This window comes from Homo sapiens, chromosome 9, assembly GCF_000001405.40.
Source record: "Homo sapiens chromosome 9, GRCh38.p14 Primary Assembly".
Taxonomy (NCBI): Eukaryota; Metazoa; Chordata; class Mammalia; order Primates; family Hominidae; genus Homo; species Homo sapiens.
In genome coordinates, this window is record NC_000009.12 from 133,338,047 (window position 1) to 133,351,616 (window position 13,570).

Below are 13,570 nucleotides of genomic sequence, written 5' to 3' on the forward strand. Positions count from 1 at the left end.
ATCCAATGCTTCAGCAAATCCTGTCAGCTGTGCCTTCAGAGCACCTCCAGAATCTCAGTGGACCCACTCCCATCTCATCACCACTTTGGTCCTGTTTTATTTATTTTTTGAAATGGAGAGTCTCACTCTTCCTCCCAGGCTGGAGTGCAGTGGTGTCATCTTGGCTGACTGCAGTCTCCACCTCCTGGGTTCTGCCTCAGTCTCCTGAGTAGATGGGACTATAGGCGTGTGCCACCATGCCTGGCTAATTTCTTTTTCTTTTTTCTTTTTTTTTTTGAGGTGGAGTTTCGCTCTTGTTGCCCAAGCTGGAGTGCAGTGGCCCGATCTCGGCTCACTGCAACCTCCGCCTCCCGGGTTCAAGCGATTCTCCTGCCTCCGCCTACCAAGTAGCTGGGATTATAGGCATGGACCAGCACGCCCGGCTAATTTTTGTATTTTTAGTAGAGACAGGGTTTCTCCATGTTGGTCAGGCTGGTCTGGAACTCCCGACCTCAGGTGATCTGCCCGCCTCGGCCTCCCAAAGTGCTGGGATTACAGGCGTGAGCCACCGCGCCCGGCCAATTTCTATACTTTTTAGTAGAGACAGGGTTTCTCCATGTTGGTCAGGCTGGTCTGGAAATCCCGACCTCAGGTGATCCGCCCGCCTTGGCCTCCCAAAGTGCTGGGGTTGCAGGCGTAAGCCACCGCGCCCGGCCGATTTCTATACTTTTTAGTAGAGACGGGGTTTCTCCATGTTGCCCAGGCTGGTCTCAAAACTTCTGACCACAAGTGATCCACCCGCTTTGGCTTCTCAAAGTGCTGGGATTACAGCAGGAGCCACTGGGCCTGACCTGGTCCTGTTTTAGATTTTAAGACTCCAAAATAACAACCAAATGCAACACACAATAAAAACAGGCATAAAAGCCTTTCAGCTGGAACCGCCACCTTCCAGTAATTCGCCAAAATGACGAACACAAAGGGAAAGAGGAGAGGCACCCAATATATGTTCTCTAGGCCTTTCAGAAAACATGCAGTTGTTCCTTTGGCCAAGTATATGCAAATTGATGAGAAAGGTGATATTGTAGATATCAAGGGAATGGGTACTGTTCAAAAAGGAATGCCCCACAAATGTCACCATGGCTAGACTGGGAGAGTCTACAGTGTTCCCCAGCATGCTGTTGGCACTGTTGTAAACAAGTAAGGGCAAGATTCTTGCCAAGAGAATGAATGTGCATATTCAGCACACTAAGCACTCTAAGAGCCGAGAGAGCTTCCTGAAACGCGTGAAGGAAAATGATCAGAAAAAGAGGGAAGCCAAAGAGAAAGGTACCTGGATTCAACTGAAGCGCCAGCCTGCTCCACCCAGAGCAGCACACTGTGAGAACCAATGGGAAGGAGCCTGAGCTGCTGGAACCTCTTCCCTATGAATTCATGGCATCGTGGGTGTTAAAAAAATAAAAGACCTCTGGACTAGAAAGAAAAAAAATAGGCATTAAAAAAACTATTTGGGGAACAACTGAAGAAATCTGAATACAGCTAGATACCAGAGGATATGCAATCATCATCCATTCTGGTTGTGGTGATGGACGAAGGAGAATGTGCTCAGAGAGGCAAACTGACAAGTACTTCCATGAGTTCCACTGCCCTCAAAATAAAAAGCTTGGGATAAAAGAGTTACATGGACTGAGAATGGGCCGGGGCTTAGCAATGTGGAGGCCACTGGTGACCTTAATAGGTGTAGTTTTGCTAGAGTCATGGAGACAAAACCTGTCTGACGTAGGCCCAAGAGAGAACTGCAAATGGTTATCAGCTGCTTCCCCGTGGAGCTCTGCTGCCAAGGCCATGAGCTGGAGAGGAAAAAAGGTCAGCAGAGCGGCTTGGCTTTAAGAAGGAGAAATAACTTGATTTTCACATGGGAATGATGGTCCTGGCCAAGCAGAAAATGAAGCTGATGGCAGGTCTTATCGCTCAGGATTTTAGGAACAGGGTAAGTGGGATCCCACCACAAAGTCTGGCCAGTTCCTTCCGGGCTCTCGCTTCATATATGCTTCCATCTGGTTGTAATCTTTTTCTTCCTCAGTGGTTAAGTACAAGGCATTTCCACAGCTAAAATAGTGCGGGAACAGATCACCACACGTATCAATGGGGAAATTCTCCCTCAGAGGGGAAGCAACTTCCCTAGGCCACCCCAGAAGCCAGGTCCAGAGCCAGGACTGGGCCTCAAGCTCCTGTCTGTCTGGTGCCTTCTGCTTGGCTGTGGGGTTCTCTGGTTCAGGTGGTGATGGGTCAGCTGTGTTCTTACCTGTCCCCAAGGCTGGATCCTGGGCTGTCACCTCATTCATACATCGGGAAAGATGATGGCCTCCCCCATGAGAAGATGAAGCACATGGATGGTGCTGGAGGAACTGGGGTGGGGTGCTCCCCCACACTTCCTGTGGACGAACTGTGCTCCCCCCACACTTCCTGCCCAGTGTTGTGACTTCTGCATTTCTAAGGTGAGCCTGGCACCAAAAGACACTGGGTCTAGACTTCCATCAGGTTCAAGTTCTGATTCCTGCCACTTCACTTCCTAGCTCTGTGGCCGTGGTACACCTCACCCCTTCTAAGTCCACATCCTCTCCTCTCTAAAATACCGGCACTAGGAGCACCGGCTCTGGTAGCAGTGAGGATGAGATGCCAGCAGAGGCACAGGTGCCTGGATGTGCAATGATGGCAGCAGGTCCATTCACTGAATACTGGGGACCTACCAGGTGCCAATGAGGAGAGAGTGACCTTGGGCCAGGCTGTCCAGGCAGAGCTGAGGAGCTGCTGCTCGGACAACTGCTGGGAGACCAAGGATGGTCCTGGACTGACAAGGAATGAGGAAGAAAGAGCAGCAATGCAAAAAAGTGGCGGTGTTTTAATCAAGTCTCATTACAACGGCAGAATTAGGAATGAGTCCCACCTAGCTTCCACATGCGTGGGCAGCAGCTGTCACACGGGCCTGTCGTGGCACTCAGCCCATGGCACAGACATATGTGGCTCAGGGCAAGAACCAGTGGATGGGGCTCTGCACAGGAACGCTGGCCTCGGGATGGGAGACCCGGCCTGCCCAACACTGCTCAGAGCCCCTCCCAACTCTGACAACAGGCTCGGGTCAGGACTCCCCGAAATCAGGCACCCTCCTGCCCCACTGCTGAGATCCCCAACGGGCCAGACCTAGCTTGGAAACTTTCTTCCACCTGGCTGGCCAGGAAGGCAGCAAACAGAGATGATGACTCGGAATGATGGGCTATTCGGAAATGGCTAGGGAAACAACTGTTTCCCTACTGTCCTGGCGGGACCCACCCTGGGCTAACGGGCTTCCCAAGGAAGTCCTAGTGGCTCTGGGGTCCTGAAGTCCCCAAATGGGAACCTAGGCTGAGAGAAGCAAGGCTGTGAGGGCATCCAAAGGGCTGCCTCAGGTTTTGTTCCTGAGAACGAAGCGTGGCCCCGGAGGCTCAGGCGTGCTCAGTGGGGCCAGGGCCACCAGCATGGGAGTGGGCAGGGGCTGCCACCTGTAGGGGGCCAGCACTGGGCTCCGGGGACGCCAGCAGAGGGGCCGAGAGGCCATCAGCAGAGTCTGTGTCGAGGTCCAGCCTCCCGTAAGCTTCGCACAGAGGCAGGTCATTAGCTTCGCAAAGGCTTGAGCTTTTCCACCACCAGAAACCCCAGGGAGAGACAGGAGCAGGCAGAGAGGAAAGCCAGGGGAGGGGAGAGCAAGACAGAAGCAGAGTTAAGAAAACACGACCACACCCCAGACCTGCCTTTCCCTTTCTCCACTCCTGCTCCATCTGTCCCCTGAGTTGGCAGGCCTGGCAAGGAGAGGCGGCCAGTGGTGAGAGCCACCCTAGCATTCTGAAAGGAGGAAGCCGCCCTGGCCCAACCACCAACAGCTGTGTGACCTCAGCAGGCCCTTCCTGCCCAGCCTCCACGTGGGCCTGTCCTAGCCTATGCCTCCCAGCTGGTGCTGGTCCCCCTCCTCTTGCAAAAAGCTGTCAGCCTGGCCACCCTCCCTCCTCCCTGACTGCAGAAACCCCAGTGTCACTACACTGCAAAGAGCTCTCTGAGGGCAGACTGTGTTCTTTCTGGGTCTGTCCCTGCCTGAGACTTAGCCTGAAGGGGGCGACAGTTGGGAACACAGGCCCTGGCACTTCCCGATAGCCCTACATCAGCCAGGCGGCCTCCAGCAGGCGTCCCCACCTCTAACACGGGGAATCCTCACGGCAGCCAGGATGCAGGTGAAGAGCTCAGCTAGCCCTTCCCATGCCCGCAGCTGTGACAATCCACGCTCGCCTCTTTCTAACCTGCAGGCAGGGGCCCTGGCTTTCCCGCGGCCTGCCTCGCCCCTGGCTTCCTCCCTTGCTCCTGCCCTCAGTGTTCAGTCTCAGAACCGTCCTGGGCACAGAGTGGCATCCCGAGGAACGCAAAGGAGAGGCAGAGCCAGAAAGAGCAACTAACAAGCAGAGAGGGGGCAGGCGAGCACAGAGGCGCAGCTCATGCGGAACAGGGCAGGGCAGGGCAGGGAGCGGAGCGCCCTTTGGGGGACCAGCAAGAAGGGGCAGAGGAAACTCGGCCAGGACCTGGTCGCTTAAAGGCAATGTACAGAGGAGGGCAACTGCTTCTGCCACAGGGGCTGTGTGAGGCCCCCCAGGGGGCGCTGGTGTGGACAGGAGGCCTGCGGGAGGGGACACAGGCTGGCCTGGAAGCCCCGCTGGGTGAAGCTGAGGGACTGTTGGGGGAGGGCATGGGAAGCCTGGCACAGATGTCCTGGGTTTGCGCCCTGCTCTGCTGCAGGGCCGTGAGCAGGTTCCCTCTCTCCCTGCCCCAAGGCAAGGCAGGCAGGCTGAATTACAGGCCCACAGCTGCTCTGTGCAGGGGCCCTCAGGGACGGTGGCTGCCTCAAAGAGACCGACAAACTGAACAGCTGTGGAAGGAGATGCCCAGAAGGGTCTGAAACACCCCAGGACCCCTCTCAGCCACCCTAGTGTGGAGGAAATGCTGCCTCATGTCTGCTGAGTTAATGAGTACTGGGGACCAAAGATTCCCTCAGAACCCCCTGGAAAACTCTAGGACTGCTGCAGCTCAGCAGTGCCACTGAGCCCAGGGCAGGGAAACCAAGCCCCAGGTCATGCTGGCTCTGGATATCTGTGGCTCCCAGCATGGCCAATGGGCAGAAAGGAGTATTTTAAATCCACCACCAGGAAGGAAAGGTTTGTCCAGGAGAAGGCACAAGATGGACATGGACTCTGCATCTGCTGGACTGAATCTTGATTTTCTAAGCTAATGGGGCAGAGTGGAAGGCCTCCCTGTCTCCAGCCTAAGTTTCCCCCTAAGTAAATGATACGTAGACTCTGATTTCTCAGGGCCCCTCCAGCTCAAACGGTCGAAGGTTTCAGCTTCTTACGGAGCCCCACAAGGGTCAGGATGATGGGTTTTGACCCTTCTGCATCCCTGGGACCCAGCACGGGGCCTGGCACGTAGGTTGGCTCCAGCTCCGTGGATAAGGCTGAGTGGGTCACGAATTGGAGCTCCAATGGCTTTCAAGGCCATTCCCTGCCTGGGCTTCATCCCCCACATTCCCATGACTGTCCCTGCCTCCACACTGGGGTTTGGTGACATCCACATGGAATTGCATCCCTGGTGCCCTGGACATAGGTGTGGACCTGACTGCCCAAAAAAGGCTGGCCCAGCCTTGGCTGAAATCTCTACATATGGATTCAGAAGGTAACAGGAGCAGCACAGCCCCAGAACGCACTGCCCGAGGAGGAAGGCTCTCGGAAGAGGGCCTGCGGGGGATACAGCCAGGCGCCTCCCTTCTCCAGACTCGGCCTATCCGACTGGCGTGAGTCCTGTGGTTTTCATCACATTGCACTGTGGGAAAGGCCCAGGGCCCTGGCATATGGATGTGAATTGTCTGTCGGTCAAACGCTCTGGCCAGGAGCTCTGCTCTGAAACCCAGGCATGGCTCCACTGCTAAGACCAGCAAGAATTTGAAAAAGCAGAAGGCAGCCCTGCCTGCTGGCCAGGCCCAGGTAGGCAGGCTCCCGCTCTGCATGGGGAGTCCAGCGCTATTTATACCTGGACGAGTAATACTCCTCCTCCAGCTCGTAGAGGTCAATGGAGATCTCGTCTCGCAGCGTGATGAGCTTCCGGTCGCACTCCTCCTGCAGTGTGCGCAGCTGCTGGTTGCGCTGGTCAATGGCCTCGTTCACGGAGGGGAAGTCATTGAGGATCAGGAACTGCTTGAGGTCGGACACCAGCTTCATCAGGGACTCGCCGGCTCGGACCTGTGGCCATCAGAACCAGGGCGGGCACAGGGTGAGGGGGGACAGCGGCCTTGCCTACAAGTAGCTGATGCTGGGCAAGGGATGGCCTCTCTAGGAGCCTCAGCTTCCTCATCTGCAAAGTGGGACTCTACCCCTGACCTCCACAGGTTCATGTGTGAGAATTAAGTGAGAAAACTGGGATGTCAGTTCTGCAGGGCAGGCCCTCCCCTCTCGTCAGCCTCTGGCTTCCACTCCTGCAGGACTGGCCTCCAGTCCAATTATGCAGGTGTACATTCTGCTCATGAAAAACTCAAACCCCACAGATAAAACTGCGATCCCATTTTGCCTCCTGCCCCGGGGTAGGATTAACATGGCTGCCAGCTGGGCAGAGCTCCTGTGGGACCTTTTTCCATGCATTTTGAGCCCTGGACGTGCACCTGCGGAATTATCTGCTTGCTGTGTTTCTCCTGTGATCCGAAGGAATCCAATGGCGCCTACAGTTCCATTCGGCTGTTTGTCTTTTCACTCACAACTGACCTTAGGAACTCCTGAGTTAGCAGGAAGGGCTACCCTCTTTCTGGCCACTGCACGGCTACAGGACGGGCATGGGTGGCTCTCTGCCCAGCCCTCCTCCAAGTGCCCCACGTGAGGACAGTCTCCTGAGAAATGATTTGCCCCCACCTCATTCTTTAAAGCTGCCGAGTGGTGAAACCAAAGCATCTCTACATTTGCCTCCTTCTGCTCCTTCTCGGGGGAAGAAGACCAGACCAGCCCCAGAGCCCCCTCCACTCCACCCAGGAAACCTGAGGGGACTGATGCTCTTGGAGCCCAGGCCGTGCCCTCCACCCTGGCCACTCACGATGTTGGCGGCTCGCACATGCATCTCGTAATTGTCCTGTTCACCCTGAGTGGCCCGTGACACCTGCGTCTCGTCCTCAATCTGGGGGAAAACAAGAAAACCTAGAAATCAACCCAGCCAAGGCATCCCCACCCCTGGCCCGGCCCAGCCCAGCTTACGGTAACTGTCATCTACCCAGGATGTCCACACTGGCCACAACCTGTCTGTGGTGCCATCTACAGACCTAAGCGCTGTCAGCCAGACCTCTGACAAGGTTCAATTCCACCCTCTCTTGTTCTGGCCATGGGAGACAACATGCACCTTTGCTCAAGACAAATAGAGGCAACCCACGCTGCTTGCTGTACTAGGTGCAGGGATGGGGGCTTATCTTGGCCCGGTCTTTTTGGGCTGTGGGAGCCCTGTTTGGTAGGAACCGTTGTCACTTGCTTGGCATTTGGTAAACTGTTGGATGAGTGAAGGGATGATTTAAGTTTTTTTTCGCGACCATTTCCTGATCACTTCCCAGGTGCCAGGCTGTGTCATGCACTTGACCACCATTAACCCATGCCAGTTTCACAGAAGCCTGGCCTGCCACCCCTGGTGTATAGGTGGCCAAGCGAGGCTGGATGGGGCTTCCCGGCAGGCCTTGCAAAGGCTCAGTTCGGGGTGGGTGTCAGGTACCCTCAGTGGTTAAGACCCAGACTTCGTGGGTTCAAATCCTGGCTCAGCCAGTTGTGAGCTGAGTGACCTTGGGCAAGTCACTAAGTCTCCTGGGCCTGGGTTTCCTCCTGAAATGAAGAGGACAACAGTGCCCACCTCACAGAGTCCTCATGAAGATTCAGCAGAACAGGCACAGATAACCTCACAACGTGGCTTGATACATGGCAAGCACTAAGTACATGCTAGCTTCCATCCTCATCATCATCGCTTATGGAGCCTGCCAGGTCTGCAGCAGCCAGGAGGGATCCAGCCCAATCTGATGCAGCTGTAGCTGCAGTGGTCAGCAGGCTTGCAGGCCCCAGTGCTGACCGCTCCACCTGCCTGGAGGCCCCCCCCCACTTCTCCCCTCAGTCTGCTTTTCTCCTGCTCATTGGCTGTGTGCCAGGCCCCGAGGTAACTGTTTTACACAGATAAACTCACCAGTCATCACAAGGACCCCACCATGCAGGAGAAACTGAGGCACTAAAAAGTGAAATCTCCATCCAAATCCATACTGTTAGTAAGGGCTGGACGTGCCATTATTTGGTTTGCTTATCTACTGACCAGCTCCCTGTGCACTGGGTGCTTCCTGCCTAGAACACTATTCACTCGCGCTGCTCAGCCCCTGGCCTCTCCTGTCTCCACCCCTTCTCAGACTCTGCTCCCCTTGGTGGGCCACCCCACCCCCACCTTGGCGGTCTTGATGATCTCGGTGAAGTTGTCCATGATGGACTTAATGTCGTCCTTCAGCCGCTTGTTGTAGGACTGCAGCAGCGTCTCCTTGCTCTGGGGCAGGGCTCTCTGCTGGGCCATGGCCGAGCCTCAAGCAGCGCAGCGGGGAGACCTGGGACCTAGAGTGCAGCACAGACCTCTGAGTGCAGGCAGAGTCTACCCCAGCCACCCTCTATGCCCCAACCTTAGCAGAACACGCAGATTTCTGGGGATTCCCTTTCTGCCAAATAAAGTCAATCACTGAAACACAGATGAACTCATTCCATCAGCAGACACCGCAGGGGGTGCCAGGACTGGCCCCGCCTTTGCCAGAGCAAGCTCATCCTGGAACTCCTGGCCAGCCCTCCAAGCCCTGTCCAGGGCTCCAGTCCAGACTTCACGTCCAGGCCCACAGCGTGTCCCAGGGAGCCCTGCAAACTCAACACCAGCTCCCCGTCCCCAGCCCTTGGCTTAACTTCTTAGCCCGCCGCCACCTTCGCCACGCCCTCCCATCCGAAGAGTCCTTCCAATTCGACCCCTCTGCACCGCCTACATCCACGCTTTCCTTCCACTCCCACTCAGGCTGCCCCGCTCCAGACCTCATCCCTGCACTGCGGGCCCCGCTCCCTCCAGTCTCTGCGCGGCAGGGAAGAGGTCCTAAAAAGTGGTCATTCCAACCGGGCGCGGTGGCTCACGCCTGTAATCCCAGCACTTTGGGAGGCCGAGGCAGGGATCACCTGAGGTCAGGAGTTTGAGACTAGCCTGACCAACATGGTGAAACCCCAACTCTACTAAAAATACAAAAATTAGCCGGGCGTGATGGCAGGCGCCTGTAATCCCAGCTACTCGGGAGGCTGAGGCAGGAGAATCGCTTGAACCCGGGAAGCACAGGTCGCAGTGAGCCGAGATCGCGCCACTGCACTCCAGCCTGGGCGACAGGGGGAGACTACGTCTCCAAAAGAAAAAAAAAAGGGGGGTAATTCCACTCCCTCGCTTAACATCCCTCATGGTTCCCCGGTGCGCCGGGACAAGGGGCTCAAGTTCCGCGCCGCGCCTCTCGGCCTCTGCCCTCCAGCCGCACTGGACGGCCTCGGCGCTGGAGTTGCCTGGCCCTGGGGCCGGGCCTTTGCGCGCGGTGCTCAGGGAGGGCCCGGGGCCCCCTAGGTTCGGAGTCTGGCGCACGACCGAGCGGACTCCTGGACGCACTCGCATTGTTTGTGCCCATTTTTGGCGGGGTGTGGGAAATAAGTCACACGCAGGAAAGGGGATCTCCGACCCCAGCGCCTACGCACCCACCCACCCCCACTCCCGCCCACACACCCACCCCCCCTCCATCCCCACCCCCCACCACACCCTCATACCCGCCCCAGCGCCCGCACACCAGACGCCGCGTCCGCCGGGTCGGCCTAGGGCGGGGTGGTCAAGTGCCTCTGCGACCCGCACTTTCCCGCGTCTCTCCCACGGCCTGGCCCTCCCGCCGCAGTCTCTCTTCCCCGCCGCGCCGCGGTCCGAAAACCTAGTCAGCCGCCGCAGCCTCTCGGCCCCGCCTCGATTTTTAGCTTTATAGGAATGCTGTTGCTTTAAATCCGAAATCCCGTGCCGGTATCAACTCTCGCGATCTCCGAGGCCGCATACATATTACCCACAATTCCCTTTCCTTTCTCTCTCCTCCCGCCGCCCAAGATGGTGAGTGAGCTGTAGTTCCGTGGCACTATAGCCAGGTTCCGGCTGTATCCGCTGCCATCCTCCTCCAGGCGCGGCCTCGGAGGGCCTCCTGCTCCTCCTGGCGCTAGGAGAGCCCCACTCGGTGTGGCACGGAGACACCGAGGTGGATTAGAGCCCCACTTGGTGTGGCACGGAGACATTGAGATGGACTAGAGCCCCGGGCGGCCGAGAGCGGAATGCGTTGTTCCCGGTGTCGCAGGGCTGGGTGTCGCAGGCCTGGAGCACCGCAGTGCGGGGCTCGGAGCCCTAGCGTCTCTCGGGCTTGCTGGGGGCCGCTCCAGAGGCCTTGTGAGCGACGAGTTCTGAGCCCGCCCCTGTTGCTTCTAGAGCCTGTGGGGCCGCGACTCAGAGGAGTCATGAGTCCGGGGTGTCTCCTGGGTGGGCGACGCGAAGAGAGCGTGGTCTCGGGCTTAGCCTTGCTCTGGCCACTCGGGGTTCCCGGGGCTGCATGCTTGTGCGGCTGAATGTGAGATGCTCCTGTCGAGGGGTGGTGCTGGGGGGTTGCAGAAAGCTGCTCGCCAGCTTAGTTCAGGCAGGTGCTGTCAGCGTCCCTTGTTTTGGAGGAGCCAGCCTGAGCCCTACCCCCGACGAAGCGAGTGGAGGCGGCGGTTTAACTGACGTTTTCTTTCTGCCCAGCCGAAAGGAAAGAAGGCCAAGGGAAAGAAGGTGGCTCCGGCCCCAGCTGTCGTGAAGAAGCAGGAGGCTAAGAAAGTGGTGAATCCCCTGTTTGAGAAAAGGCCTAAGAATTTTGGCATTGGTAAGTAACAAACGGCAGAATGAAAACGGTCTATGTTTTTCTCAAGGGAAGGTGGTAATTGGGTTGTGTTGTATCTTGTAGGTTTTAGTGGGTGTAAAGTGGTCGCAGTCCTTAATTTGTGTCTCTTAGAGACGGGGGCAATGATACATGCTTCTTGCTTTCATTGGGAGTTGCTGAGCGAGCATTCAGCTCAATATGGTAGTGGCCTTGAATTCAGCTTAGCCATCTGGAAACAAGTACAGTAGCAGTGTCGCAGCGAGGTACTAGGACTGCAATTCTGCTGTACTTCGTGGCACCTTGGCTTCTTGTTAGATGAGGAAAAGCATCGTGCTCTTTGTTCTCAGGTGTTTGTGTGCAGATGATGTAAAAGAATATTTGCTATCTGAGAGATGGTGATGACATTTTAAACCACCAAGATCGCTGATGCACCAACACCCTTCCTAGTGGCCCCAGACATGAACTTGACATGGAATTTGAGCCTCACTCGGTGTCACCCTTTACTTCTCAGGACAGGACATCCAGCCCAAAAGAGACCTCACCCGCTTTGTGAAATGGCCCCGCTATATCAGGTTGCAGCGGCAGAGAGCCATCCTCTATAAGCGGCTGAAAGTGCCTCCTGCGATTAACCAGTTCACCCAGGCCCTGGACCGCCAAACAGGTGAGGTTCTGTGGCGTGGAAAGGAGTTTCTCAGGCAAGGATTCCTTATTTCATCCAGAACATGAGGGGGATGGTCTTAGGCTTCTTGAACTGCAGTTGTCATTAAATTATAGTCATATAGCAGGACCGCAGTCCAGCATTTGTTATTAAGTGTTAAGTGACAAGGATTAGAACCTTGACTCCAAGCCTAAACTGAAGAGTGTTTTTCCAGCTACTCAGCTGCTTAAGCTGGCCCACAAGTACAGACCAGAGACAAAGCAAGAGAAGAAGCAGAGACTGTTGGCCCGGGCCGAGAAGAAGGCTGCTGGCAAAGGGGACGTCCCAACGAAGAGACCACCTGTCCTTCGAGCAGGTGAGTAGGCCCCACCTTAGGGTGAACACTGGGGGCGGGCTGTTGCAGTGATGTAAAATTTCTTGGCCTGAAATTACTGTGAAGAGTAAAACCGAGCTTTTTAACACTGAGTCAGCAGCTGAGCCCAGCAGCTTCTTGTGACTAGAGCAGGCCCTGTGAGTGCTCACAAAGTGGTTGTGTGTTCTAGGAGTTAACACCGTCACCACCTTGGTGGAGAACAAGAAAGCTCAGCTGGTGGTGATTGCACACGACGTGGATCCCATCGAGGTGCGTTTGCCTGTTGACTGCTAACCCAAGGGCTTCTGGCAGTACCAGGAAGAGAGAGTAGACCTAATGCCAAGTCAGTGATGGGACCGAAGTGGGTGAGGGCAGTACTGACACAGATCCAACACATGCGTGGCTCTTGCAATGATGTGAATCTCTCACTGAATTCAACCTTGAAGTGCGAATCCATGAGCTTTTTAACCCTGAGCAATTGTTACAAGCTAACTGAAATTTGCTGCTTTTGGTCAAAATACAGTCTTCAGCTAATGCTTTCTTCCAGCTGGTTGTCTTCTTGCCTGCCCTGTGTCGTAAAATGGGGGTCCCTTACTGCATTATCAAGGGAAAGGCAAGACTGGGACGTCTAGTCCACAGGAAGACCTGCACCACTGTCGCCTTCACACAGGTGAACTCGTAAGTACACAGCCTGGCCCCAAACTTCCCCCCAGTTCATTTAATCCATGCCTCACAGTTGTTTCCTTTTGCCTTAAAGGCCAATCTTTTAGTTTAAGAAATATATTTATCTGAACTTTTGCCAATGATGGTTAAGAATTTCTTCACCTGAATAAACCATGTGGTCAGCATTGCATCTGAGGCAAAAGACTGTCTTGAGCTAAAAGGTATTTTTGCATTCTAAAAGGGAAACTAAGGCAAAAAACCCACTTTTGTTTCCCCTCCTGCCTTTTAGGGAAGACAAAGGCGCTTTGGCTAAGCTGGTGGAAGCTATCAGGACCAATTACAATGACAGATACGATGAGGTAAGAGGCAGCTTTACACCAAAATACTGTCATTCACAAATCTTTCTCCCAAATAACTGGCTGGCTTAACCTATGAGAAGTTCTATCTGACGATCAGCTTGGAACAGCCAAACAGAATTAACGCAACTAATAACCTTGAAAATCTCAGAAAACAGTAAGCCAAGCTAACTGCCTCTTTTTGTCTTTTCAGATCCGCCGTCACTGGGGTGGCAATGTCCTGGGTCCTAAGTCTGTGGCTCGTATCGCCAAGCTCGAAAAGGCAAAGGCTAAAGAACTTGCCACTAAACTGGGTTAAATGTACACTGTTGAGTTTTCTGTACATAAAAATAATTGAAATAATACAAATTTTCCTTCAGCCAGTGTCTGTTGAGTATCTCGGGTTGAATCTTACTTGGGGTTAGCAAGTATCTTTTTGAGACACAGCCTCACTCTGTCGCCCAGGCTGGAGTGCAGTGGTGTGATGTCAAAGCAACCTTCGCCTCCCAGGTTTAGGATATTCTGGTGCCTCAGCATCCCAACTGGCTGGCCCATATTTGTGTTTTTGG

General features: G+C 55.1%; 2 protein-coding genes, 4 non-coding genes and 1 pseudogene across 7 annotated transcripts, besides 7 other annotated features; 6 read left to right on the forward strand and 1 right to left on the reverse strand.

The window, feature by feature from the left end:
- Positions 1-265: 265 nt before the first annotated feature.
- MED22 (mediator complex subunit 22) lies at positions 266-10,085 on the reverse strand. Of its 2 annotated transcripts, NM_133640.5 has the most exons (5): positions 9,876-10,085; positions 8,494-8,654; positions 7,126-7,206; positions 6,079-6,287; positions 266-3,648 (listed from the first exon to the last, which is right to left on the reverse strand). In NM_133640.5, exons 2-5 carry the CDS (start codon positions 8,614-8,616, stop codon positions 3,459-3,461), a joined length of 603 nt encoding a protein of 200 aa, NP_598395.1. In that variant the 5' UTR covers positions 8,617-8,654; positions 9,876-10,085; the 3' UTR covers positions 266-3,458. The 2 variants fall into 2 exon arrangements, with proteins under 2 accessions (NP_598395.1, NP_852468.1); NM_181491.3 differs by having other exon boundaries at positions 2,859-6,287.
- On the forward strand, positions 904-1,452 carry RPL21P81 (ribosomal protein L21 pseudogene 81; annotated as a pseudogene).
- Positions 3,774-4,494: an enhancer, noted in NCBI's record as "H3K4me1 hESC enhancer chr9:136208670-136209390 (GRCh37/hg19 assembly coordinates)". NCBI's record gives its function as "activates a minimal SCP1, AML or CMV promoter by ChIP-STARR-seq in primed H9 embryonic stem cells {active_cell/tissue: H9 hESC(primed)}" and the evidence as "EXISTENCE:reporter gene assay evidence [ECO:0000049][PMID:30033119]".
- Positions 3,848-3,897: a silencer, noted in NCBI's record as "silent region_20451". NCBI's record gives its function as "represses an Ori minimal core promoter by ATAC-STARR-seq in GM12878 lymphoblastoid cells {active_cell/tissue: GM12878}" and the evidence as "EXISTENCE:reporter gene assay evidence [ECO:0000049][PMID:35858748]".
- Positions 7,658-8,161: an enhancer, noted in NCBI's record as "H3K4me1 hESC enhancer chr9:136212559-136213062 (GRCh37/hg19 assembly coordinates)". NCBI's record gives its function as "activates a minimal SCP1, AML or CMV promoter by ChIP-STARR-seq in naive H9 embryonic stem cells {active_cell/tissue: H9 hESC(naive)}" and the evidence as "EXISTENCE:reporter gene assay evidence [ECO:0000049][PMID:30033119]".
- Positions 8,162-8,663: an enhancer, noted in NCBI's record as "H3K4me1 hESC enhancer chr9:136213063-136213564 (GRCh37/hg19 assembly coordinates)". NCBI's record gives its function as "activates a minimal SCP1, AML or CMV promoter by ChIP-STARR-seq in primed H9 embryonic stem cells {active_cell/tissue: H9 hESC(primed)}" and the evidence as "EXISTENCE:reporter gene assay evidence [ECO:0000049][PMID:30033119]".
- Positions 9,968-10,262: an enhancer, noted in NCBI's record as "tiled region #11826; HepG2 Activating DNase unmatched - State 1:Tss, and K562 Activating DNase matched - State 1:Tss". NCBI's record gives its function as "activates a minimal TATA promoter and a strong SV40 promoter by Sharpr-MPRA in HepG2 and K562 cells {active_cell/tissue: HepG2 | K562}" and the evidence as "EXISTENCE:reporter gene assay evidence [ECO:0000049][PMID:27701403]".
- Positions 9,968-10,593: a biological region, named in NCBI's record as "Sharpr-MPRA regulatory region 11826".
- Positions 10,124-10,593: an enhancer, noted in NCBI's record as "active region_29236". NCBI's record gives its function as "activates an Ori minimal core promoter by ATAC-STARR-seq in GM12878 lymphoblastoid cells {active_cell/tissue: GM12878}" and the evidence as "EXISTENCE:reporter gene assay evidence [ECO:0000049][PMID:35858748]".
- On the forward strand, positions 10,172-13,380 carry RPL7A (ribosomal protein L7a). Its single transcript, NM_000972.3, has 8 exons — positions 10,172-10,200; positions 10,876-10,996; positions 11,505-11,654; positions 11,866-12,006; positions 12,194-12,273; positions 12,551-12,681; positions 12,956-13,025; positions 13,216-13,380. Exons 1-8 carry the CDS (start codon positions 10,198-10,200, stop codon positions 13,318-13,320), a joined length of 801 nt encoding a protein of 266 aa, NP_000963.1. The 5' UTR covers positions 10,172-10,197; the 3' UTR covers positions 13,321-13,380.
- SNORD24 (small nucleolar RNA, C/D box 24) lies at positions 11,350-11,424 on the forward strand. The gene has a single exon (NR_002447.1). It is a non-coding gene; the product is annotated as a small nucleolar RNA, C/D box 24 (small nucleolar RNA).
- On the forward strand, positions 12,048-12,118 carry SNORD36B (small nucleolar RNA, C/D box 36B). Its single transcript, NR_000017.1, has one exon. It is a non-coding gene; the product is annotated as a small nucleolar RNA, C/D box 36B (small nucleolar RNA).
- SNORD36A (small nucleolar RNA, C/D box 36A) lies at positions 12,410-12,481 on the forward strand. The gene has a single exon (NR_002448.1). It is a non-coding gene; the product is annotated as a small nucleolar RNA, C/D box 36A (small nucleolar RNA).
- Positions 12,800-12,867, forward strand: SNORD36C (small nucleolar RNA, C/D box 36C). The gene has a single exon (NR_000016.1). It is a non-coding gene; the product is annotated as a small nucleolar RNA, C/D box 36C (small nucleolar RNA).